The sequence below is a fragment of the Homo sapiens genome, chromosome 7, assembly GCF_000001405.40.
Source record: "Homo sapiens chromosome 7, GRCh38.p14 Primary Assembly".
Classification (NCBI taxonomy): Eukaryota; Metazoa; Chordata; class Mammalia; order Primates; family Hominidae; genus Homo; species Homo sapiens.
Window position 1 is genome coordinate 22,471,593 of NC_000007.14, and position 25,224 is coordinate 22,496,816.

At 42.6% G+C, this 25,224-nt stretch overlaps 1 protein-coding gene across 11 annotated transcripts in view, besides 2 other annotated features; it reads right to left on the reverse strand.

The window, feature by feature from the left end:
* STEAP1B (STEAP family member 1B) overlaps positions 1-25,224 on the reverse strand; it is an 80,745-nt gene that overhangs the window by 52,149 nt on the left and 3,372 nt on the right. For 2 of the 11 annotated variants that reach the window (NM_001382447.1, NM_001164460.2), the window contains exons 2-4: positions 23,180-23,294; positions 21,732-22,244; positions 20,973-21,137 (exon numbers count right to left, since the gene is read on the reverse strand). In NM_001382447.1, coding sequence (NP_001369376.1) covers positions 20,973-21,137; positions 21,732-22,244; positions 23,180-23,263 — 762 coding nt within the window. In that variant the 5' untranslated portion in view covers positions 23,264-23,294. Of the gene's footprint in view, positions 1-1,579; positions 1,643-1,823; positions 3,291-10,082; positions 10,313-12,220; positions 13,469-18,287; positions 20,273-20,972; positions 21,138-21,731; positions 22,245-23,179; positions 23,295-23,769; positions 24,062-25,224 lie in introns of those variants that run through there. The other 9 variants (XM_047420104.1, XM_047420109.1, XM_047420107.1 and 6 more) reach the window with 9 other exon arrangements.
* Positions 5,955-6,455: an enhancer, noted in NCBI's record as "H3K4me1 hESC enhancer chr7:22517166-22517666 (GRCh37/hg19 assembly coordinates)". NCBI's record gives its function as "activates a minimal SCP1, AML or CMV promoter by ChIP-STARR-seq in primed H9 embryonic stem cells {active_cell/tissue: H9 hESC(primed)}" and the evidence as "EXISTENCE:reporter gene assay evidence [ECO:0000049][PMID:30033119]".
* Positions 6,456-6,956: an enhancer, noted in NCBI's record as "H3K4me1 hESC enhancer chr7:22517667-22518167 (GRCh37/hg19 assembly coordinates)". NCBI's record gives its function as "activates a minimal SCP1, AML or CMV promoter by ChIP-STARR-seq in primed H9 embryonic stem cells {active_cell/tissue: H9 hESC(primed)}" and the evidence as "EXISTENCE:reporter gene assay evidence [ECO:0000049][PMID:30033119]".

Below are 25,224 nucleotides of genomic sequence, written 5' to 3' on the forward strand. Positions count from 1 at the left end.
CAAATTTTGATTAACAGAAATTGTTTTCAAGGCCAGGTACGGTGGCTCACACCTGTAATCCCAGTGCCATGGGAGGCTGAGGTAGGATTACTTGAGTTCAGGAGTTCGAAAGCAGCCTGGGCAATATAGCAAGACACTGTCTCTACAAAATATTTTAAAAGTTAGCCAGATGTGGTGCTACATACTTGTAGTCCCAGCTACTCAGGAAGCATAGGCAGGAGAATGGCTTGAGCCTAGGAATTTGAGGCTGCAGTGAGCTATGATTGCACCAGTGCACTCCCGCCTGGGCAAACCTGTCTCCAAAAAAAAAAAAAAAAAAAAAAAAAGTTTTCATATTGCTAACGTACATCATTTGAGGTAACTACTTTAAAAGGCTGTGTTTCTGGCTATTGGAAGAATAGGTTAACCACCAAAAAAAGGAAAATCATCGCTACTAACAAGAACTGGGTACTTAGGAAGATACCACCTAGGTAGAAACACCTTTAATAGATTCATGACATATTGGAACTATTTATCTTTGGAGGCTCAAGGGATTGTTGGGACTTCTGGAATGAGAAAACTAAATTATTGTCCCTCTTTCCAGACATTAGGCCAACTTAAGCCTGAGAAGAGCACACCTAAGCTTGTGGTAGTTCATCTGTGCAAATGTGGTAAGTTGAAACCCCATATCTGGAAGGTATATGATGAGAGTCTTACATCCCCATGTGCAGCCACCAGCCTCCCGAGTCTGCACTTGTGCCTTAATCCCAGAGCCCCACAGAAGGGTGAAGGCAGGCCGGACACTCCTTGTCATTCCTAGGCCAATAGCAAATGTCAAAAGTATCAGCTTGGCGTCTTTGATGTCCTGCAGGTCAGTGCTACTCAAAAATGTGATTGGCAAGTGATGTGTTACCTGTCCATGATGACGTAAGAACAGAGATTGAGAGTTAAGTCTTTAGAAGTTTTACGGCAAGTTGACAAGAGTAATTCAACATTGAATCTAACCATAAAAAATAAACCGTCCTTTCACACGTTGCTCTAAACCAGAATTTCCTGACTTTTCTTGTGGTGTGCCTATGAATTTGGCAGAGTTCTGGTGGTGAAAGGAGTCTCCTCTTTTCACAGCAGTCTTCCTTCCCTGTCCAGATCTTTCTGCACCTACCCCTCTCCCAGCAGAAACATTTCACACATGTACATCCCATCCTCCCCCTCCTTCCCTGTCATGGCAGTTGGGAGGCTATGCAGGAGAATGGAAAGAGTCATGGGCTATGGAGGCGGGAGATTTACGTCTGACTTGCTGTGTAGTAACAGTGGCTTCAGCTGGCATCCAACCTTAGTTTCTTCATTCATAAAATGGAGAGGATGATGATGGCGGGGCCTACCTCATAAGACTGCTCTAAGAGCACCCTCTGCATACTGTAGTGCCTATGCCTAGTGCTGCTGTCTTTGATTGGGCCCTTCAGAAAGTTGATCCTGAAGCAAGCCCAGGGCAGTGAGAGTGAAAGCAAAGGTGGAATTGAGGAAAGAAAGATGAAAAATATAACGTGATGCATTACCGCACTGACCAGGACACCGCAAGTCATTAAGCAGGCATGCTTACCAGGAACACTGAGATTTTCTTCAGATGTTTTGCAAGGAGAAGAAACTGCAACTCACACCAGCCCTTGGAAGGGAAAGAGGAAGGACACCCTTTCTAGTTGATCAAGGATTACATCCTCTAGCTCCTGTCTATCTCTCAGAAAACCAGAGAACATATCCCAAATTGTTACATTTCATCTTAGCCTAGATGTAGAAAGTGACTCAGGTGGGTTATGCCAAATAAGGGAGAAAGACAGAAAAGTGAGTCTGAGAAAGCACACAAGATTTTGATTTAATGTGTCAGCTTCCAATGCCACTTCTACTACCATCCAACCTTCTTATACAAACGAGTAAGTGGAATGAGACAAGGTGGAATCTGTGTCTTGAGTGCTGAAATGATGACTGAGACATTTATTTAGGAGACACGTTGAGTTTTTCAAAAACAGCCAGATTTTCTGGAGTTCTTCAAAAATTCTACTACCTGGTCTCCAACCCCAGAGACGACGAACTGGTAGTTCTGGAAGACTGGATTCTGTTTTAAGATGGTATATTTTTGCTCCATAGATGATTGTGAAGTTAGGGCTGGGACCCATGGTGATAGTTCCTGCATCACTCCAGGCTAGAGGTTCCACAGACTCCCGAGTGCCTCTGTAGGCTAGATCACACCAGGAGTTGCAGTCTGGAGCTGTGATGGTGGTGATGGCAGACAGGATCCAGCAGGAAAGTAAAGTCCCGTTCCGCTGCCAAAAACCTGCCTGGGACTGACTAGTGCCCATCCCCGAGGCTGTATGTTGAGAATCAACTCCAAAGGCAGAAGGTAAGTGTATTAACCTATTGGTCACCAAACATGACTTTGTTTTATTATTAAAGGTCAAAGGGGTAATATAAACAGTTATGGGATGCTAAAATCCATCACATTCTGTTGTTGCAGTTCAACTTATATGCCTGGCAGTGTCTGTTGCTTTGAAGGGAAAGAAATAAATATATCATATACCTACAAATATCGTTCATTGTATATATGAATACCTATATATTTACATTCAAATATGTATAGATGTCCCATGATCATTTAACTTCAGGCCTACATGCTAGAGATGATAAAGCAGTAAAGACCCTGACTTCAGTGGTTCTCATCCTCGGCTGCCCCTGGGAATCATCTGAGGAGTTTGCTAAAAAATACTGATGCCTGGTACCTACCTGCAGAGATTCTGATATTACATATCTGAGATATGGCCGGGACATTCTAGTCTGCATCCAAGTTTAAGAACCACAGCCTTATTTGGAATCTAAAGCCCCCAAGTTGTACAGTCCTGTGTAATTTCTATGGGAAACCGGGAAGAGCCAGCTTCCTGTGTGGCCAGCAAGGGCAGCTACAGGGGTTCAAAATGGTCTGTTGACAGCTCTTTTAGGAAAATATTTATGCAGCTGATGTTGCACTGCCCTGGTACTTACCAAAGATAAGCTAAAACTGTCATCGTATACAGGGTGCTGCTGTTGATGGGCTTCTGTCTTGGTGAGATGCTGGAGCAGGGCTCAAGTTCCTGTAGCCATGAGTTCAAACAAGCTAGAGTTGCTGCAGATGGCTGTGAACTTTGTGTGACTGGTAGCATCTGAGCATCCCTCAACTTGGATAGAGCTCCAATCGCCTCTCCCTGACAGCTCACCCATGCCAGTGGTGAGTGGTGAGTGGACAGCTCCCATTCCAGTGGTGAGCCTAAGACCCAGGCAGGTAGCTGTGTGAACATTTGCCCACAGAAAGCTCATCATTATAGATCTGAATTCCTGAATCCAAATGAGAAACATCTCCTGATTACTCAACAGCTACTCATATGTTCTTTGAATGAGCTGATATATTTGGAAGATCAGGTCCCTGATATCTGTCTGATTAACCGACATGCCTCATAGTATCCTCATCTCCCAGAGAGAAAAGTAATGCATCCCTGAGTCTCTCCAGGCTTGAAGGCAGGGGTTCATCTGCATCTCATTTTATCCCCACCTAAAAATGTCACTGCCCTAAGAAGTAGGTTCCTATCCTGGCCTGCGTGTGGCTGCTCCTAACGGGCACCTGGCATCTCCCTGCTGGCCAGTACACTAGCAGCTCCTGCCTTTCAGACAGCATGGTATACAGTCACATCCGCCTGGAGTCAGGACTAGAGGCGCCACACACTCTCTTGCACTAGGCAATGCCGTGTCCCTGCTGCACGCACCTGTCCATGTGGGGCCTTGAGCTGGATTTCGTTCTGAGTCAGGGTCTTCTTCTGTTCTCCAGGCTGGAGTGCAATGAGGATCACAGCTCACTGTAACCTTGAACTCCTGGACTCAAGTGATCCTCCTGCCTCAGCCTCCCGAGTACCTTGGATTCCAAGTACATGCCACCATGCCTGGCTAGTTTAAACTTTTTGCAGAGAAGGGGCCTTGCTATGTTGCCCAGGCTGGTCTCAAACTCCTGGCTTTAAGCCATCCCCCAGCCTGCATGGTAAACACACCTGAGAGCAATAACGAGCTTTCCCTGAGAATGACCCTGCATGGCAGATGCACCTGAAGGTGTGTTCAGTGCTAGGAAATCTGGGAGTGACCAACCCAGAGATTTATTCCTTGTCTGAGGAACATCTGAGTCCCTGGCCAGTCCTGTGGAACACAGGCTATCCAGGGACTTGAGGCCCCAAATTTTGGATCAAATCAAGGTTGCCAGGTGGAGGTTATTAGGGAAAGGGTGCTAAGTGAAAATGCCGTAGAAACTGTCTGCCTTTTTTAAGCAGTTGCAGTTCTCCTGTCCAGCCCACCACCACTGGACTCTGCCCACTGTATGTAAGCCCTCGGTAAAACCTCCTGTCTCATTTGCTGGCTCTTGAACTATTTGGCCTCTTGAACCTGGTGCCACCCCCAATGGGGTGAATTGGGGTTTGGAACAACACCAACTCAGCCTCCCAAAGCACCGGAACTACAGGTGTGAGCCACTGCACTGGTCTGAGCTGGGCTTCATGTCCCATTTCAGGCAGTTGGTGGGACAGAGTCTCCCCAAACCCCGTTGTATTACTTCTCTTTGCCATGTCACAAATTACCATAGACTTAGTGGCTTAAGCAACACCGATGTTGTACCAGACCCCTATTAACCTCAATAGGGATGGTACCATGTTTGAGAGGCCAAAGAAGAGACCCAAAGCCAGCAAACAAGACATAGGGTCTATTAGCAGGAAACTTATACACAGGGATGGCCCAGTGGCAGCAGGCTGGACAAGAACCATGTAGCCCAGGGGTGGTGGGCTGGACAGGAGAACTACAATGGCTTGCAAGAGGCACGCAGTTTATGGAGCATTTTCACTTAACATCTTCCCCATAACAGACTCCACCTGGGACCTTCATTTAACCCAAAACAAAGGGCCTCAATCCCCTGTATAGTCCACATTTCATGGGATGTTAGGGACAGGGTTCAGATGTTCCTCAAAGATAAGGAATGTATCTCCAGGTTGGCCACTCTGGATTCCTTAGCTTGGAACTCCAAACACACATTCAGGTGCATCTGCCATACAGGGTCATTCTTAGGGTGTGCTGGAGTTATTGTTATCAGGCACATCTACCATGAACCCATTTATTATCTGGGTCAAGATTCTGAGCATGGCTTAATTGGGCCCTCTTCTCAGGTTCTCAGAGGCTACGACAAACATCATGGCTGTACTGGGTTCTCATCTGAAAACCTGACTAAGGAGGAATCCGTTTCTGAGATCACTCGTGTTGGGAGAATTCATCTCCTTGTGGCTCAGTGCCTGAGGGTGCTGACCTTTTGCTGGCTGTTGTCCACTCTCAGCCCCTAGAGGTCACTCACAGTTCCTTGCTATGTGGCCCTCTCCCCAACATGGCACTTTCTTCAAAGCCACATAGGGAGAGACTGCAGCTTTCTGCTGAGTAACCTAATCAAGGAAGTGACGTCACGCACCTTCCCCATACAAGGGAACCTAATGAGGGCACGCATAGCCTTTGCCATCTTCCACTGGTGAGACGCAAGTCATGGGTTCCACCTGAACTCAAGGGAAGGAGATTCACAAGGGGGTGACCCATTGGGTCACATTATGGTGTGTCTGCCACACTCAGCCACTTGTTTTGACATTGACTGTAAGATTTCCTCTTTGATCCCTCTTGCCAGGCCTGAACTTGATCTAAACTTTTATTATTGATCCCTGATGGCTTCCTATTAATGCCCCCACCCAACTCTTTCCCCCTCCAGATGGTCTTGAATGATGTAGTTCAATCTCTTGGTGACATCCAGCCTGACAAATACATATTATCTAACCACTGAGGAAACAGATTCTGAGAAAGGTTAAGTGTCTTGTCCAAGGTCACACAAATCATAAATCTGCTTAGCCTGTATAGCAGTGATAGTCTTACCTAGCTATTAGGACTGATACTAAAATAACGCATGAAAGTACTCTGCAAATGGAAGCGTATTACGCAAATATTACGAATTTCATTCATTAAAATAATGGATTTTTGGCTTTTTAATGGATCCTCACTTGCATTTGCCCTTTGACAACCTCATATGTGTGCAAAATTTTGTCTACATAGTTTGCAGGACATCAACAAGAGGTTTTTTTTTTTAATGCTTCTTGTGTAATCCAATGTGTCACATGCAAATAGGGAAAAGTTAACTTAAAAAGGCTTTATCTCCTTTTAATCTTCCTTTGTTCTTTTCTGCTTTATCTTAGCACATTTCCTATGTAGACCTGTGGGTCCCATGAGCGAGCTACTGACCTTGGGAGAAGCAAGCTGTCTTTCCAGACTCCCTTGTAACTCAAAAAACATAGGGAAAAACACACAGTACTCTTCCTACTCCGTGCCAAGGTGCTGTGCTGCTCAGCTGAACCCAGGGCCCTCTCCACTGTCAATCAGCAAAGCTCTGGAGCTGGGGGCTGCTGGGCGGCCTGAGAGTGGGGTGGGCGCTCAGGGGAAGTTGCTAAGACTCAGGCCCAGACAGGTCCCTGCTGAGGCACCAAACTGGTGAGACCTGAGCCTGGTCACAATTAGTCTTCCATTTGCTAGATAACTGCCGCTCTTCTCAAAAGCAGAGGCAAACAATCCCACTATTGTTTAAGAAGTCTGGGGTTTATCTTCGGTTACTTAAGGCAATGAGGACAGACTGCAGAGATGCCCAAATCTCTCTGGCGCTGAGACTTGTTGCTAAGAAAACAAAGATTCCAGCTCTCACCCTCAGCCTACCGCTCCAAGATAAGCGGTTCTTCCAGTTATTAAATAGTGTCTGTCTGCTCTAATCGTAATGTTCTCACAGGATTTTCTGCACCTTTCTTTAACACAGTCCTATGATAGCCACACGCTGTCACAGGAATAAGTAGTCTCTCAAGTTCTCTCAAGATCTGAGGTAATATGTGATCAAAAATCAGAGAAAACCTCAACTTGGCCATTGGGCATTTGGTTAATGTTAAGCCTCTCTGGGTCTGTATTCTTCACTAAAATGAGAATACTTAACTCACTGGTGTTATAAGAACTAAATGAATTTATACATATAAAAATCTTACTTGGGGGGGGCTTGGACAGAGTCATCACTGCAGTAATGGAGACGTTCTCCACACTGTCTAGTCCAGTAGCAGTTGCCACATATATCCATTGAGCACTTAAAATGCGACTACTTTGGGTCTTGTTTTCTCAAATGCTTCTCTTTGCAGGAGGGAGGTCAGGCCACTGTGTTCCCTTACCTCAGGGACAGACCACCTCACTTTGTCTGGTTTCAGGAAACAGCTCACTGAGGGGAACCGTGGAAGGAAGAGGTGCACGGTGCAAGTGGAGGTGCTCCTGCAGCCCGGGGTCCTTGCCCAGCTCCCAGCTGCACCCTCAGAGAGGCAGGCCTGGGAGGAGAAGGGCCGAGTGGGGTACCTAGGAGGCTGCCTGCCAAAGCACCCGAGATTAAACTCCCGCTCCACTTGGCAATTTGATTTCAAGAAAATAAAGACATTTCTTCACACCCAAGGAGAAATGAAGTCATCCATCCTACATTATTACTATCATTTCCACCCAGAAATAACTAAGTCCTGGGGCTTGCTGGGTGGGACTGAATCATAAACCAGGGTGGGGAATGGGGGAGAGGTAGATGGAAGAAACAAAAGGAGATAGGGGTAGGGGGCAAAACGTGATGCCGGCGCTGCAAGGAGGCAGTGCATTTGCCCACTCGAGAATCCTCGCTGCCTGCCCTTAACAGAATCACATTATGCTGCATAGTATTTTACAATTTGCAGCTCGTTAATAGCCTGTGAACTCTAATAACTAATTCTTTCTGCTAGGTAAGTAGAAAAGAAGACAGACTTTATTCATTACATTATTATCCTTGTAGAGTAACCTCCCATGGAGCAGGCAAGTAGGCGAAACAACTTGCTGGCTGGCCAATCTTTTATGTGTAACTTGCTGACTTCAGACTCCCCTAGTTGCCCACATACTAACTGTAAGCCTCCTGAGGCTCTGAGGCATCAACCTCTCTCCCCCTAGAGTGGCGTTGTGCAAGACAGTAGCCACTAGTCATGTGTGGCTTTTTTTTTTTTTTTTTTTTTCTGAGATAGACTCCCACTCTGTTACCCAGGCTGAAGTACAGTGGTGTGATCTTGGCCCAGTGCAGCCTCCACCTCCCGGATTTAAGTGATTCTCCTGCCTCAGACTCCTGAGTAGCTGGGGTTACAGGCACACACCGGCGACGCCCAGCCGATTTCAGTATTTTTAGTAGAGATGGGATTTTGTCATGTTGGGCAGGCTAGTCTTGAACTCCTGGCCTCAGCTCTTTATATTATAAAATGATTAGAATTAAAATTTAAAGATTCTCTCCTCACCCACACAAGCCACTTTTCCAGTGCTCAGGAGCCACCCTGGGCTAGTGTCAACCCTGCTGGGCAGAGCAGACAGAGGACATCTCCATCACTGCAGCAAGTTCTGTCATACAGTGTTGTTCTAGAAAGGAAGGTTATTGAATGGACATCTAGAAAAGCATTTTAAATGACTACTTTTTTGGTTGTTGTAAGCAACAACTTATTTTATACTTACAAAACAAGAACAAACCTTATCCTGTTCCAAATCCTACAGAATCGTAAACAGGGTCATAATTGTACATATCATTCTCGGCTAAAGGTAAAAAGTGAGGTCTTCCCACATACACAGCATTTTTCTTTCTTTTGAAAGCTTTAAGTGATTTGCTTCCTGAGGACCAACACTATTCTGAGACTGTAGTCACAGTCTGTGAGCGGCAGCGCCTTGTATCAAGATGTGGTTATTCCACAAAGGCGACAAGAATGTGAGGACACACGCTCAAGGTGGGTACTGACAATGCCCGGCTGCCAAGATGGATTAAATTTATGGCAATTTACAGCTCACCCCAGGGAGACTCAGTCTGCAAAAGCTCAGAGACAGGGAAAGTTGCCATAAGGATGCAGGTAATGAAAGCATTAAGCTATCCACTCTATTGAGAAAAATGGCTCCAGGCTGAATTTTCCAGGCACACTGTCTATACCAAACAATTATCCCAATCATGCTATGGTGTTTCCCTCCGTTTTCCCAGTGCTGATGTGCCTTTAGGTGCAGCGGGTTTGTTGCTGCTATGTTTGGGCTTCAGGGTATGATGCTATCTCCCGTCAGAAACCATGATCTTTACTAGGTGCCAGCTACAGCATGCCTACACAGACTTCTAGAAGCAGCAGGGCCAGAACAGAAGCACTTAAGCCCCATACTCAAGAAACAGAAGCCTGGCGCAGGTCCAGCTCTCTGTCCATGGGACCACAATGAGTCTTTCACAGTGCATGCCTTGCTTGTACAAGGGCAATTGTCTCTGAGGTTATGTTCATAATGGTTACCACTTAGGTGTTCACTAACAGGCTCAGTGTTAAGCACTCAATGTGCAGAATGCCACAGATACATCCAAAGGCTCTGTGAGGGGAGGTCACTGGATGTCCTCGTTTCACAGTAATGTAAACCACTTAGGTGATACCTCAAGCTGGTGCAAGTAGTGGCTGACCTTGAATCCAGGTGATGTGACCGCCGCTATGGGTTTCTGTGGGTCCCTTGGCCCAAGGTCCTGTCAATTCACATATACACCTGTCCAGCCCACCCAGCCTTAGCTTCCCCATTTACATTTAATGGTGAAGAGCACAGACCTCTGGAGCCAGACTACCTGTATTCAAATCTGAGCTCTGCCATTACTACCTGTGTGCCTTTAGCTAACCCCTGGGTGCCTGAGGACCCTGGCCTTTTGCTGGCCCTCTTCTTACAGAAGAGAAAGCAGACCCCAGAGCCAGTTTCTCTTCTGTAAGGGAAGCCTGGAGGCTGGTTTTACCTCTACAAGAAGAGAATGGTATTGATGCCTGGCATCACCTGAGAGCTGTCAGAAATGCAGAGTATCAGGCCCCACCGTAGTCCAACAGAGTCAGAACCTGTATTTTAACAAGATCCCTGCGTTGGTTTGCACATTAGAGTTTGAAAAGCACCATCTGATGGCAGAAAATAGTGCCCTGTGATGAATTATTTTGTAAAACACACAAGACTCACGTAACGGTCTACTTTATAAAGCCAGACATATCACAGGTCTACATTTCAGTGCACTTAGAGGGCTATGCCATTGCAGGTGCTCCCCAGATGAACACAGTCACGTAAAGCCAGAGGATTGTGTTGAAAGACAAGGAAATGAAACTAAATCATTGCTCTTAGGACTAAAGTCAATGAGGTAACATTAGCAGCGGTTTCCTGTAATCCTTGAGGGTGGGGAGGAAGCATCCTGTAAGTAAAACAAAGTCTGTTGGCACGTGTTTCCATGAAGATTCATGCCTAATTAAGTAAAACCCACGAAAGCCGGAATCCTGCTCTGGGGAGACTGGGTGGCCACTGTGTTCTCTCTGGAAACTGACTGCTCCCCACAGGGGCCAGGCAGAGCCATGTCTGGGTCTGGTCCTCAGATTCCCAGAGTCCTGCTTGCAAGGGTAGCTGAGTACAGGCATCTCACCAAGTAGCTTTGAACAAAGGGGACTGAGTGGCTCGAACTGTCTTCCTTTCCTGCCCACCACCTCCCACTTTCTGAAAGGGTTCCCAGAAGCAGAGCTTGAGACTGGGCTTCGTGTTCCAATGATTTACTGGGGGTATGCTCTCAGGAGAAGGGGCACACATAGATTTGCCAGATAAAATAGAGGATGCCCTATTAAATTTAAGTTTTAGATAACCAACGAATAATTCTTAGCACAAGTATGGCCTAAGTTGTTTATGGGTCATATTTATACAAAAAATTTTGTTGGCTATCTGAAGTTTAACTGGATTTAGTTATGTTGGTTTGCTAAGTCTGGTAGCCCTGGGAAGAAGGATAGGCAGAGAGGAGAGCTAAGGAGATCTCCCAGCCAGAGCCCAGGATCCCAGCATTGTACAGTGCACCATAGTAGACCCACAATGGGGCCAGCAGCCTGGCGTTCTGTATTCCTGTGCCATTCAGTCACTGGCCAATCTGCCCCCCAGGCACATAGGGGGAGGCAGATGCTGTTCATGGGCAAAGGAAGTGAGTGGATCCCATTTGGCCAAGGGCAATTCTCCAGAGAATGAGAGCAGCTGGAAGCTGCAGACAGCCAATATTCAATCAGAGTGGGGCCTCTCTGGGGTCAGCTCTGACAGTTGTGGATGCTGTCATCCACAACCTCTCCCCACCCTACACACACTCCTACTAGCAATCCTCAGGCCTTTCATAAGTCAACAGCAGTTTATGAGTGGCTTTGAACTGGGGAGACATCCCTGGATCTTGTCTCAGGTCCCTGGGAATAGATTTGTAAGTAGGGCTTCCAAAAATAAAATGAGGTGCACCTTGTCCATTGACTGCCAGATCTGTGCCGCCAGCACATCATCCCACCAACTTTGGTTTGCTCTGGGTATTTCTGAGAGCTGGATGGGGCATTTTCTTTCCATGCTTCTAGGACAGTCTTTGTTTCACCAGGATGGAAAAGGGGTAGGGAGAGAAGTTTTGGCCCACGTCACCTTCTTCCAAGCAGAACAAACTGTCTAGGAAAAAATGTCAACCGACTCTATACCTCACACTGAGGATACAGGACAAAATTAACCCTACTCATTCTGTCATCTGGGAGAAAAAGTCACCTTAGAAAAGAAAAAAAAAATCGCCAGTGTTTTGTTTTGCTATGTTTAACAGATCGTTATTCCACATATGGATGAGGGGTACAGGCATACGTTCATTTTTACTCAGATTACAAAAACAGGAAACGTGGAAGTTGCCTATGGGCATGACTCAAGGGGCACTGAGCTGGCCTTTCTGTCCCCAACACAGGCATTCCTCGTTTTCTGCTACAAGTATTGCATTTTGTTTTTGGTTTTGTTTTTTTAACAAATTGGATGTTTGTGGCAAGCCTCTGTCAAGCAAGTCTATTAGTGTCATTTTCTCAACAACATGTGCTCACTTCATGTCTTGTCGCATTTTGGTGATTCAATATTTCAAAATTTTTCATTATCATTATTGTATCTGTGATGGTGATCTGTCATCAGTGATCTTTGATGTTACTACCGTAATTGTTTTGGGATACCACAACTCTGCCTTTCACTTAAAGGCTGAGAGGCTATTTAGGGTTACTAACTGGCCTAATTTCAGTGTTGGATCTTGGAATAGGGAGAGGCAGAGAGACACGAAATGGCTGGTCGGTGGAGCAGTCAGAACAAACATTTATTAAGTTCACTGTCTCATACAGGTGTGATTCATGGTGTCCCCAGTTACAATAGTAACAAAGATCACTCAAAGTTTGTTAGAAGATCAAACTAGCCACTACATTCTCTTAAGCCAAAGCCTAATCCAGAGCAAGGCCCTAAAGTTCTTCAGGTCTGTGAAAGCTGAGAGAGGTGAGGAAGCTGCAGAAAAGCTGGCAGCTACCAGGTTGGTTCATGAGGTTTAACAAAAAATGCCATCTCCATAACGTAGAAGTGCAAGGTGAAGCAGCAAGTACTGATGGAGAAGCTGTAGTGAGTTACTCAGAATATCTAGCTAGGATCATTGAAGCAGGTGGCTACACTAAGCAGAATTTCAATGTAGACAAAAATAGCCCTCTTGGAAGATGCCATCTAGGAGAAGTTCATGCCTGCCTCCAAAGCTACAAAGGACAGGCTGATTCTTGTTAGGGGTTAATGCAGCTGGTGACTGTAAGTGGAAGCGAATGCACATTTATCATTCTGAAAATCCTGGGGTCCTTCAGAATTATGCTAAATCTACTCAGCCTGTGCTCTAGACATGGCACAAAACCTGGATGACAACACATCTGTTTACAGCATGATTTACTGCACATTTTAAGCCCACTGTTGAGACCTACTGCTCATAATAAAGATGTCTTTCAAAATATTACCCTCATTGACAATGCACCTGGTCACCCAAGAGCTCAGATGGAGATGCAAGGAGACGAATGTTTTGTTTTGTTTTGTTTTTCACACCTGCTAATACCATATTCATTCTGCAGCCCATAAATCAAGGAGTCATTTCAACTTTCAAGTCTTATTTTTTGAAGTATATTTTATAAGGCCAGAGATGCCATAGGTAATGATTCCTCTTAATGGATCTGGGCAAAGTCAATTGAGAATCTTCTGGAAAGATTTACCATTTTAGATGCCATTAAAAATATTTGTGATTTGTGGAAAGAAATCAACATTATCAACATTCATAGGAGTTTAGAAGAAGTTGATTCCAGTCCTCATGGATGACTTTGAGGGGTTCAAGACTTCAGTGGAAAAAGTCAATGCAGATGTATAGAAATAGCAGCAAGAGAACTGGAATTCTGAGTACAGCCTGAAGCTGTGACTGAGTTGCTGCAATTTCATGATAAAACTTGAACAAGTGAGGAGTTGCTTTTCATAGATGATCAAAGAAAGTGGTTTCTTGAGATGAAATCTATTCCTGGAGAAGACGCTGTGAAGATTGTTACAATGACAAAAGATTTAGAATATCACATAAACTTAGCTGATGAAGCAGTAGCAGGATCTGAGAGGATTGATTCCAATTCTTAAAGAAATTCTACTGTGGGTAAAATGCCATCAAACAGCATCACATGCCACAGAGAAATCTTTCCTGAAAGGAAGAGCCCATTGATGTGGCAAACTTCATTACTGTCTTATTTTAAGAAATTGCCACAGCCACCTAGCCTTTAGCAACCTCCACCCTAATCAGTCAGCAGCCATCAACATTGAAGCAAGACCTCCACCAGCAAAAAGATGACTCACTGAAAGCTCAGATGATTATCAGCATTTTTTTAGCAATAAAGTATTTTAAATTAAGATATGTACATTTTTTAGACATGATGTTATTGTACACTTAATAGACTATAGTGTAGTATGAACAACTTTTTTATTTTTTTAGAGATAGGTTCTCACTCTGTTGCTAAGGCTAGAGTGCAGTGGCATGATCATAGCTCACTGCAGCCTCAAACTCCTGACTTCAAATGATTCTCTCACCTTGGCCTCCCAAATAGCTAAATATAACTTTTATATGCACTGGGAAACAAAAAAATCATGCAACTCACTTTATTCCAATAGCCTGGAAACAAACTAGCAATATGTCCAAGGTATGCCTGTATATTTCTCTACATAGTTTGCGTGAAATTCCACCATGAGAAATTCCTTCAAGTCAGTGATTCTGAACTGGAGATGAGTCTGCCTCTGGCTTCCCCTTGTTAAAATAGATTGCTGAGCCCAACCCAGAGTTTGATTCAAGAGGAACCCAAGAACTGTATTTCTAACAGGTTTCCAGAGGATGCTGATGCTGCTGGTTTGGGGACTCCACTTTAAGAACCACCGGTTAAGAGGCCTGAATGAGATAATACACGTACACAGCTATTAGTATACTGCCTGGCATACGTAAGCCTGCCACACTCAGTGGTTCTCAAACTCGGTTGCACATTAAGATTACCTGGAGAGCTTATAAAAATCCCAGTGCCCATTCTGCACCTCAGACCAATTACAGCAGAATCCCAGGGGCAAGGGCACACATCGTTGCTTTTTGAAGCTCCCCAGGTGATTTCATTGTACAGTCATGGCTTAGAGGCACTGCCTTAGAGGTGGTTTAGAGAGAAAGTCGCTTGCGTTCACAGAACACTAATTTCTAACAGCCGCTGAAGGAAACTGACTAGAAAGGACCAGACATCCCATTGGCACTGTGGAGTATAGTTCTGTGTCTGGAAGGCCAAATAAACCTGCCTGGCCTTTCATGAAAGGACCAAAGCCAGAGGCAGAATACAGTTTAAGAGAGTTATTGCAAACAAGGCCCTGAGGCCTTTGCTTCTACTTCATCCTCCTTTGCACCTCCTCTGAACCAGCCTGGCTTTGTCGCCTTAAACTTCCTCCTATGCCAACCCTCTCAGAGGGATTCCTAAATGCTCCCTTCTCCAGGCCTCACCCACTCACTTTTCTGCAGTCTACAGCTTGATTCTTCCCTCCTGAAGTGATACTTGTTTTCAGAAAAGCCCCTCTGGTCCTGACCAGTTCTCATCTTCTCCTGTGCCTGTCCCTCTACCTCAGGCAATCTCCACATCCCTTCCTGCCCACCTTTCACCCTGCCAAGGGGTCATCCTGCTAAACCACATGTCAACTGCCCTCACTCCCTCTCAGGCAAGTCCTTCAGGGGCTCCCTCCCTTCCTTTCTAGCCACACTGGCCACTAGCCCTTCCTGGTGGATCCTGTTTCAGGGCCTTCACTCAGGCTGCCCTGGGGATGATGACATCCCACACTCTCGGACTCCTGGCTCAGCCTTCTCAGCTCACTCAGTGCTTTCCCCAGGAAGGTGTCCGTAAAGCTGTACTCCCCACCCTAAAGGCCAGGGTATGATGAAGGCTGTCACTATAAATGTTAAGAGACATCCTAACAAGTATTGCTTTGTCTTTTCACATAGATAGAGGAAGGAAGGAAACAAAGGGTGAAAAGCCTTCTTGGTAACAAGAAACTACCATTTATTTACAGAGTCACCATTATTTCTTCCTCAGCCATGTGGGTATAAAAATGAGGACACAGCCAGGTGCAGTGGCTCATGCCTGAAATCCCAGCACTTTAGGAGACCAAGGCAGAAGGATCGCTTGAGCCCAGGAGTTTGGGGCTGCAGTGAGCTGTGATCGCACCACTGTACTCCAGCCTGGGTGACAGACCAAGACCCTGTTTCTAAACAATAAAAACATAAAGATGAGGACATGATCTCTGCTCTCAGAAATTTACATCTGATTCACTGGAGAGTTTTCTAAAATGTCACCATGATCACAGGTCTAACCCTAATGACAAAAACCAAGACTTGATAGTTAGATAAAAGGTTTCAGTTACATGAGTATTTGTTTGAAAAAAAAATGTCTTGCAAAGGCCTAGAAATTAAAACACATGCCGGGCGCGTTGGCTCATGCCTGTAATCCCAGCATTTTAGGACGCCGAGGATGGCGGGGGCGGGGGGGTGCATCACCTGAGGTCGGGAGTTCAAGACCAGCCTGACCAACGTGGAGAAACCCTGTCTCTACTAAAATTATAAAATTAGCCAGGCATGGTGATGCATGCCTGTAATCCCAGGCACTCTGGAGGCTGAGGCAGGGGAAATCACTTGAACCTGGGAGGCGGAGGTTACGATGAACCAAGATCGCACCATTGCACTCCAGCCTAGGCAACAAGAGCAAAACTCCACCCAAAAAAAAAAAAAAAAAAGAAAAAAGAAAAAAAAAAATCCACACATAGATTTACTATATTGCCTTTCCAAAAGAGAAAAGAATACAAGTAAAATATAAAACTGAGCAAATTATATTAGCATCTGTATCTCTGAATAATTGAAATCAGGACTGCCCCCAGAAAACCCCATCCACCCCATAATAAAGGGTGACTGGCATTCTAACCCATTTGTGAGGTTGAGAATCTGAAAAGTGACTACTCCCCACACGCCACCCCAGAAACTGCTGTGGCTGCACATACCTCCAACCACATCTGAAACAGGTGGCCAGGCTATTGTCCCAGTCCTCCGAGTCCCTTCTCTCCTGGCCCTTGACTCCACCCCCTCCCAAGGAGCAACTGCCCCATCCACATGGCCTCCAGGACCTGTTAGCCTGGGCACATGCTGTTTCCTCTTCTTCCCTGCCCCACCTATCCTTCCCACAGTGTGGCAGAGGATACCTTCCCAGATTTCCTGCGGGAGCCCTGCATTCTGTGTTTGGGGAAGGAGAAGAGGAAGGGCTTTATCATCTGAGCCACAACCTTTAACAACATACCTCCCTCCCATCTGTCAGTCTATGAGCCAGAAGAAGGCGAGTGCCCTTGCCCTACCTAGTCACCCTCGAGGCTGAGTGCCCAGGGACAGTGGGAATCAGAAGGGCTTGAATAAGTGGACCCCACCCTCATCCTCACCCATGCTGTGTTGCACTGTGGCCTTCTTTCAAAGTGAAAAAGTCAACTCTGAAATGCAGACCCAGTGGGGAATTTAAAACAAACACCTCAGCCCTAACAAAAGGGAAGATGGAAACAAAAGTTCTTGGTAGGTTCTGCCATGTTTTCACAGGAGCCACATCACTACAGATGATAATTCCAACAGCCCCTTGAGAGGAAACCACTGCTGACTGGCACCCAGCAGGCAGAAGCAGTCAGGGGACATATGCAATTGCAGACCTGAACCGCACAGACCTTGTCCCTTACACCCCAGTCATGCAGCCCTCAGTTTTCTAGCCTTTGAGCCAGTGCACATGAAGGTGGAGGCTGAGAAGGCTCTTAGAAATAAGCCAGGAAGGTCTTACATCTTGCCACGGACAAGTCCCCACGTAGATCAAATTGTTGAAGAAGCCATAAAAATGACTAGGAGTTGCAAAGACCGGATGCAGTACCCTTGGATAAGTTCTCTTCTACCCAAGGCTTTTTACTGGGAATGAAGAGTCACAGAGCAGGCAACAGCGACACCTGCTGTTCAGAATAGATTCAAACCAGGCAGGGAGAAACCAGAAACCCGAGTTCTCGCCATAGAGGCAGCATCGCCTGCACGTGACTTCACAAAAGAACATAAGACCTAGGGTCTGTCCTCCTATTGATTGTTTTGGGAGTCCTCATTTACCTGGTACAAGTAAGGAAGACACTGTCCTAGCTAATAATGTAACTAGTAGTTACAACATTCATGGACCATGAGTTTTCAGAGAACATAATACGGTCAAAGCACCATACTTAAACAGTACTATATTAAATGGACTCCCCTTAGCAATAGAAAAAGGTATAAGACCCTCAAGAAACATAGTTGATATGTCTGATAATTGGGCACCATTATGGGTTGAATTCTGTCCTCCAAAAAGATGTTGAAGTCATAAGCCCAAGTACCTGTGACTGTGACCTTACTGGGAGATAGGGTCTTTGCAGATGATCAAGTTCACCTGAAGTCATCAGGGTGTGCCCCAAGCCCACAGGACTGGTTTCCTTATAAAAAGGAGAATTTTGGACACAGAGACGGACAGGCACACAGGTGAACAGCATGTGACCGTGAAGGCAGAGACTGGGGCTGCATTGCATCTAGGAATGCTGAAGATTGTCAGCAATCACTAGAAGCCAGGAGACAGACCTGGAACAGGCTCTCCCTCACAGCCCTCAAAAGGCAATGCGGGCTCTTTTTTGGTTCCATATGAAGTTTAGAGCAGTTTTTTCCAATTCTGTGAAGAAAGTCATTGGTAGCTTGATGGGAATGTCATTGAATCTATAAATTACCTTGGGCAGTATGGCCATTTTCATGATATTGATTCCTCCTATCCGTATATCTGGGTTATTTTATAATCAGGAAAAAAGCACTAAATGTGAATAAAAGTGCTGAATTATTTTAGTTATAATGTTACCTTTCATGGTCCAGCCTCTGAAGTGCTTGAATTCTATACTTCCTATTCATGATCTGACTTTGAGCTTTATTAATTCCATTCCAAGCTATGCGTAATTTCTATTCCAAAAGAATGTTTTCTATCTTTTTGAAAACAATCCAAAAGATCTTTTTCGATTTATCTTTTTCTTCAAAATTATTTTAGTGATTTTATTTTATTTTTAGAAAACTTTTTTTTAAAAAACTGACAATTATATCTCAATTTGGTATTAAAACACTATTTTCCTGGTGCTTGAAAACTCAAAAATCTCCATTGTCTATAGTATAAAATACAGAATTTTAAAGCTTTTCTCTAGTGTATTTCCAAATTGCCTACCTTATTTTACTTATTATGCCTCTATGTAAGCCCTCTTTTTCTATCCTATTGGCCTAGAATATGTCATTTTTAGTCCTGTCTCTTGTGGGACTCTACTAAATGGTCCATGTTTACTAAATGATCCATTGGTTAGATCCGTTTCCTTTTGAAACCTTTCCTGAGCTTTCCAAACTCAAAAAAACTCTACCTTCTGTAATTATTTATGACACATTATTATTCTCTTGGAACATGCATACTATTTTGTATTACCGTCCTTTCTAGGGTAACTTCTGGATGATTTTGTATATGCACAACACCTAGGAGTGTTTATCCACAATACTTGGAAGCGTCTTACATATTTGGTAAGGTTGTAATGATGGGTGGGCTCATTTCACTTAGACTACATGCCAATAGTCTACCTGAGAGTGTTCCCGTTCTTTCATGAAGAAAGTAGTGTGTATTTCCTTTTGGCAGAGGCATCCTTGCCAGCAAGATACTAGGAGTACACATTTCTACCAGGAAAGCAAAATACAGACTGGAAGCCAAAAGTCAAGGAATTCTGGCCAAAGATGTAAAGAGCCAAATTCTCTCAGAAATGGTTTCCTAGAAGTAATTTGTGCTGACTATGCTTCAGTTCAAACAAACTCCTTTAAGAGCAAAATAGCAGTACGTGATATATCTAACCATTGTAGATAGCTATCTTGAAGTAGGAGTATATAACTGTTGGTTAAAATAATCTAGATTATTGCTTCAGCAATTCCGTTCATTTTGAAAAGTAGCAACTCATTTTCTGCAGATATGTAGTAGTAAGTGCACATCGTTTTAGAATTGGAGTATCTTTCTAATTACTGAACAGCTCTTGTCTGGTGTGGACTTTGGTTGAAGCTAGTGTGTTGAAGGTTTCTTTTTAAAACTGAGTGCCATAGTATAGTGACACTAATATCTATATTCATATCTATAATTATCCAGATATATAATAAATGTTTATTAAATGCAAGCTATGTCTCTCACAGGATGAAAAGAAATATAAGCCATTGTCCTTGCCTTTAAGAAGTTTGCAGTATGGATGGCTAGATAATATGTGTTACTTATTGAAATATGAATTCATAATAGAATAAAGCAGTTCATCATTATTTAAGAATGATACAACAAAAATATCATGAGAGCGAAAGGGAGAGAAAGGAGTTCCTTCAGGCTGGGATGACTATAGAAATCTATATGGAAGTAAACTCTGTCTTGCATTTGAAGAATGGGTAGACTTTGAAGAGGAAAGAAGAGAGAAAAAAGGTATTCTTGGTGAATAAAGAATGTGAACAATGTGAACAAGGCCATGGAGTCAAAGTCATTTTAGGAAGAAAGTGAGTAAATTGACTTTTTTGGGGAGGTATAAAATTGTTGATTAGACCAGAAGAATCTGGGTTGAGATTATAGAAAAGTGTGAATGCCAGGTAAGGACTAAGGACTTACCTTTTAAGTGTGAGGACCCATTTAGGGAAGATTTTGAGAAAAGAAAACATATGATCCAAGTTGAGTTTTACTGAAGTTAATTTGTCAGCTATGTTCTGTTTGAAAAGGAAGATAGAGACAGTAATATGAGGATGTTTAGAAGACCAAGAAAGCAGCTGAAGTGTGAAGTAGAATAGAGGATATATGTAGTATTTCTGTTCAGCATCCCCTCTTTTCTGATTCAGTGATTCAGGTGGAGATGACACCATTTGCCCTCAAAAGCCATAGGTAGGCCGGGCGCGGTGGCTCACGTCTGTAATCCCAGCACTTTGGGAGGCCGAGGCGGGCAGATCACAAGTCAGGAGATCGAGACCATCCTGGCTAACATGGTGAAACCCTGTCTCTACTAAAAATACAAAAATTAGCTGGACATGGTGATGGGTGCCTGTAATCCCAGCTACTCAGGAGGCTGAGGCAGGAGAATCGCCTGAACCCAGGAGGCGCAGGTTGCAGTGAGCCGAGATCGTGCCACCATACTCCAGCATGGGCAACAGAGCGAGACTTCATCTCCAAAAAAAAAAAAAAAAAAAAAAAAAAAAGGATATTTTAATGCTTTTTATTTATGTCTAGGAAACACTTGTCCTAATTAGAAGCAATAGGGAAAACAACAGGAGAGCACATTATTAACTGGAACAAGTACAAGATCTTTGCTGTTGAAAAACATTTGTTATTTTTTATGGGGTAAAGCCAACATATTCTATATCATAAACACAAAAAGAAGATTTACCTCTTAGGGTTATTTTATATATTATTTACCTGAATATAGTGAAATTCTCTCCATGTCAAAGAGTCACTCACAGATGGAATAGATGTCACAGCCAACAGAGCCAGTATTGCCAGTCCCACAATTCCCAGAGACACATAAATCTCCATTCTCCAAACATCATGCTCAATCCAGGCATCTTCTTTATTTTGTTGGACCTACCAGAAGGTAAATAAAGAAAGAAGAAATGCAAACAACAGTTATTTCCTGAATGTGAATCTCCTTCTACACTCTTCCCTGTGTGTACTATGAAGCCCTGATAACAGGTCTCCACAAATTTATGACTTTTTCTTTTTTTTTTGCATTCCTCTAAGACAAATGACATAGGAGCTATCACTTTTTTTCTTGAATGCAACATTTCCATAATCTATTAATTTTCTAATAATTATTTGATGGTTTACTTGGATAGAACTGTAATGTGCATGCATATGTGGTAAACAAGGAGAAGAACAACAATATTAAAAAGTAATCTTGTGAGGGTGGTAGAAGTTTGAAATATGGCCTTGTCCATGAACAAAATGTTTCTTATGTTGCTAAAGTTGTACCTTATTTTCAGCTTAAAAAACATTTCTCAATATAAAACCGACTGACAACCAAGCCCTAGTGTAATTATAAGAAAAATTTTAAAATAGATGACTTTTTCAACACAGAGTTTCAACAGGGTTGGGGTATTGATATTACAATGAGAAATGATTAATTTGTTAGGTGACTTAGACTTTTTATTAGTAACAGTGACATCATTGTCATCTCACCTGTTGATATGCCCAGTTTAGCAACTTGTATCTGTAGGATCGCCTCATTGCGTAAGACAGAGTATAAATTGCATGCAGTACAGCAAAAAACAAACTGAGAAGCCCAAACTGCTTTCTTGTTAACATCCACTTATCCAACCAATGTGGAAACTTCTTATACTTGGTTCCATTATGAACTTGGACAATTGCTGCTATCACACCTGGTAGGTAAACCAATGCCAAGAGAGTGATGGAAACCATTGGCAAGACTTTGTTGATGACCAGGATTGGAATTTTATAAAAATATTGTTGATGGGAAGTTGCTAAAGGGTGAATTACTTCCCTCAGAAGAGTGTAAAGAAAAGTCAGAGATGCCATAACAGCAGCTATTTTAATTGGCAAGTGCCACTGTGGAAAGAGTTCCTGTGCGTGCTGAAGTTCTGAAGGGCAGTCAAATTCATCAGCATGGGCTGTTTGCTGCAAATGCAAAAGCACAGGTCTTTTTAGCATGCTGGTCTCTCCCGTGTCCTCATGCTACAAAGGAAAGAAAATTAACATCTTAAAATTGAACAAAACAATGGGATATCTCTTGAACTAATTACTTATTGCTCAATCATTGTGCTTCTCATTGAATAAGGGCATTCAGAATCTTGCTTTTGAATACTGGTTAGTTGAAGATAGCATAGTCTATGTGGCACTGAAAGACTTTTGTCTTTAGGACAAAAGAAATACATGCTTCAGACAGGTAAGACAGTTAACTTGAAAAATGAAATTATTTCATTTTATGCACATTGTTACTCTTATAAAGTATATGCTTGTAATTTATTAATTACTTTTCCCTATTAAAATTATTAAGATTAAATAAATAATTTCTGCTAAAACTTCCATTGAGATAATTTGGAAGTTTGGAACCAAAATTTCTGCCACTTTTTCAGTCAAAAAATGTAGTAAGAAACACTTAATCCTGTGTTTGACCAAAAGTGGAAAAAGTGATTCTTATCTAAAAGTAGATTTATTTGGTTATACAGTGAATCGTCAATTTACTAGATGATCTCTTGGTAAGCTGCCACTGTGTCTATGACAAAAATGCTTGCTTACAAAATTACTGTTATATGGGCATTGATGACTTTTTTTTTTTTTTAACTTAGAACTATAGAGTGTTAGAAAGAATTGGAAGGGCCTTGGGGATGATCTGGTCCAAGGCTTTCATGGTATAAACAAACTAAGACCCCAGATTTTCAGTAACGTATTCAAGGTTATTCAGCTAAGTCCCTGACAATCAGTGAAGGTACTATTTCTCTCACATATGCTACTCTGTCCTTCACAGTATCAGTGACAGTAATCCAAGTCCAGATATCAGCAGACTAGGGTGAAAAATCACTTTCATAACACTAGGAGATACAGAATGTCATCGAATTATGTTTAAAGATGTAAATTATTATTTATTATTGTCATTATTAATATTTTACCAAATAATCGTTGTCTTCTAAATTTCTCCTAGGCTTCATTTTCCAAATTTCTTCTTGGTTTGTGATGTCTTTTCTGCTTTCCATTAATTCTATAAAATAGTATGGCTTCAGCCACCTGTAAAAATAAAAATAATTACTTTCATGTCTATTCTACTTATGATGTGAATGTCTGATGTAACAATATAAAAAATTTACTTGCTTAAAGACTAGAATGGCAGATAAAGTACAATAAAAATTGAAATAGTGACTGATTTATACATTTAACTTCATATTATAATCTGTAAGTTTCAAACCAATGCCCTCTTATCAACAGTAACTGCTCTTCTTTATCCACTTATTTGTTCAATGAATAACCCAGGTGCCTGTATGGATTACAAAGGGTCACATGTTGCCTTTTACTTTAGGAAGATTTAACTTCAGGTTTCCATCTGGAGGAAAGCCAACTCCTTTCAATGGCAAATATCATTAGGAATGCATTATATTGAGAGTAATAATGTCATCAATGGAGGCTGGAGGTAGCTGATATAAGATTTATGTTTAACAGAATTTTGGGGTTGACACTGGAGTCTGAAACAGTATTTTCAGAGTACCATTTTTCTTTTGGAGTAAGAGGTTGGTCCTTGTTTGGAAGATGTGAATTGCCAGTATGTTTCCAGTGGGAATGGTGAGTTGTGCTGAATTAATGATGTGCCCAGTCTTCTGGTCAACCCTGTGGAAAAACAACTTTTCAAATTTATCACTTGATAAAAGAAGCTTTTCCTTAGCAAACTCACAGATCCTCATCCAGGATTGGTGTAACATTTTTTAGGGAAAGAAAACATATGTCACAGTACTATTCATTGTTTTTATTAGTTCTGAATTTATTTCCAGAGGAACACATCTTTAATTTACACTTTATGAAATTCAATGAGAAAAACAGATTAGATATACAACAATTTGATTGACAGAAAACATCCCAAGTGTTTCTGAATTTTAGACCACGTGTAGTACTTTTTTAGGTGGAAAGCTGTTTCCAGGAATAGTTTAAAATACAGTGATGTGTCACATAACATTTTGGTCAACGACTGACTGCATATGTAACAGTGGTCCCATAAGAGTATAATGGAGCAAAAAAATTCCTATTGCCTAATATTTACAATACTATACTTTTTATTATTATTGTGAAGTGTACTCCTTCTACTTACAAAAAAAGAGCTAACTGTAAACAGCCCTAGGCAGGTCCTTCAGGAGGTCTTCCAGAAGAAGGCATTGTTATCAGAGAAGATGGCAGCTCCATGCCTGTTACTGCCCTTGAAGACCTTCCAGTGGGACAAGATATAGAGGTGGAAGACAGTGATACTGATGATCCTGACCCTGGGTAGGCCTAGGCTAATGTGTGTGTGTTTGTGTCTTAGTTTCAACAAAAAAGTCTAAAAAGAAAAAAAATTAGAAATAGAAAAAAAGCTTAAGGAGTAAGTATATAAACAAAGAAAATATTTTGTATGGCTGTACAATGTGACGATGTTTTAAGCTAAGTGTTATTACAAAAGAGTAAAAACAATAAGTTAATAAAGTAAAAGAGTTACAGTAAGCTAAAGTTAATGTATTATTAAAGAAAAAAAATTTTCAATAAATGTAGGGTAGCCTTAGTGTACAGCGTTTATAAAGTCTATAGTAGTGTACAGTAATGTCCCAGGCCTTTATATTCACTCACTACTCACTCACTGACTCACCCAGAACAACTTCCAGTTCTGCAAGTTCCATTCATAGCAAGCGTCCTGTACAAATATACAATTTTTTATCTTTTATACGATATATGTATGTTTACTATACCTTTTCTATGTTCAGATACACAAATACTTACTATTGTGTTTCAACTGCCCACAGTATTCAGCACGGTAACATGCTATACAGATTAGCAGCCTAGGAGCAAGAGACTATACCATCTAGCCTAAGTATGTAGGAGGCTGTACCATCTAAGTTTATGTAAGTACACTCTATGATGTTTCCTCAACAATGAAATCCCGCCTTACAATGAATTTCTCAGAATGTATCCTGTCATGAAG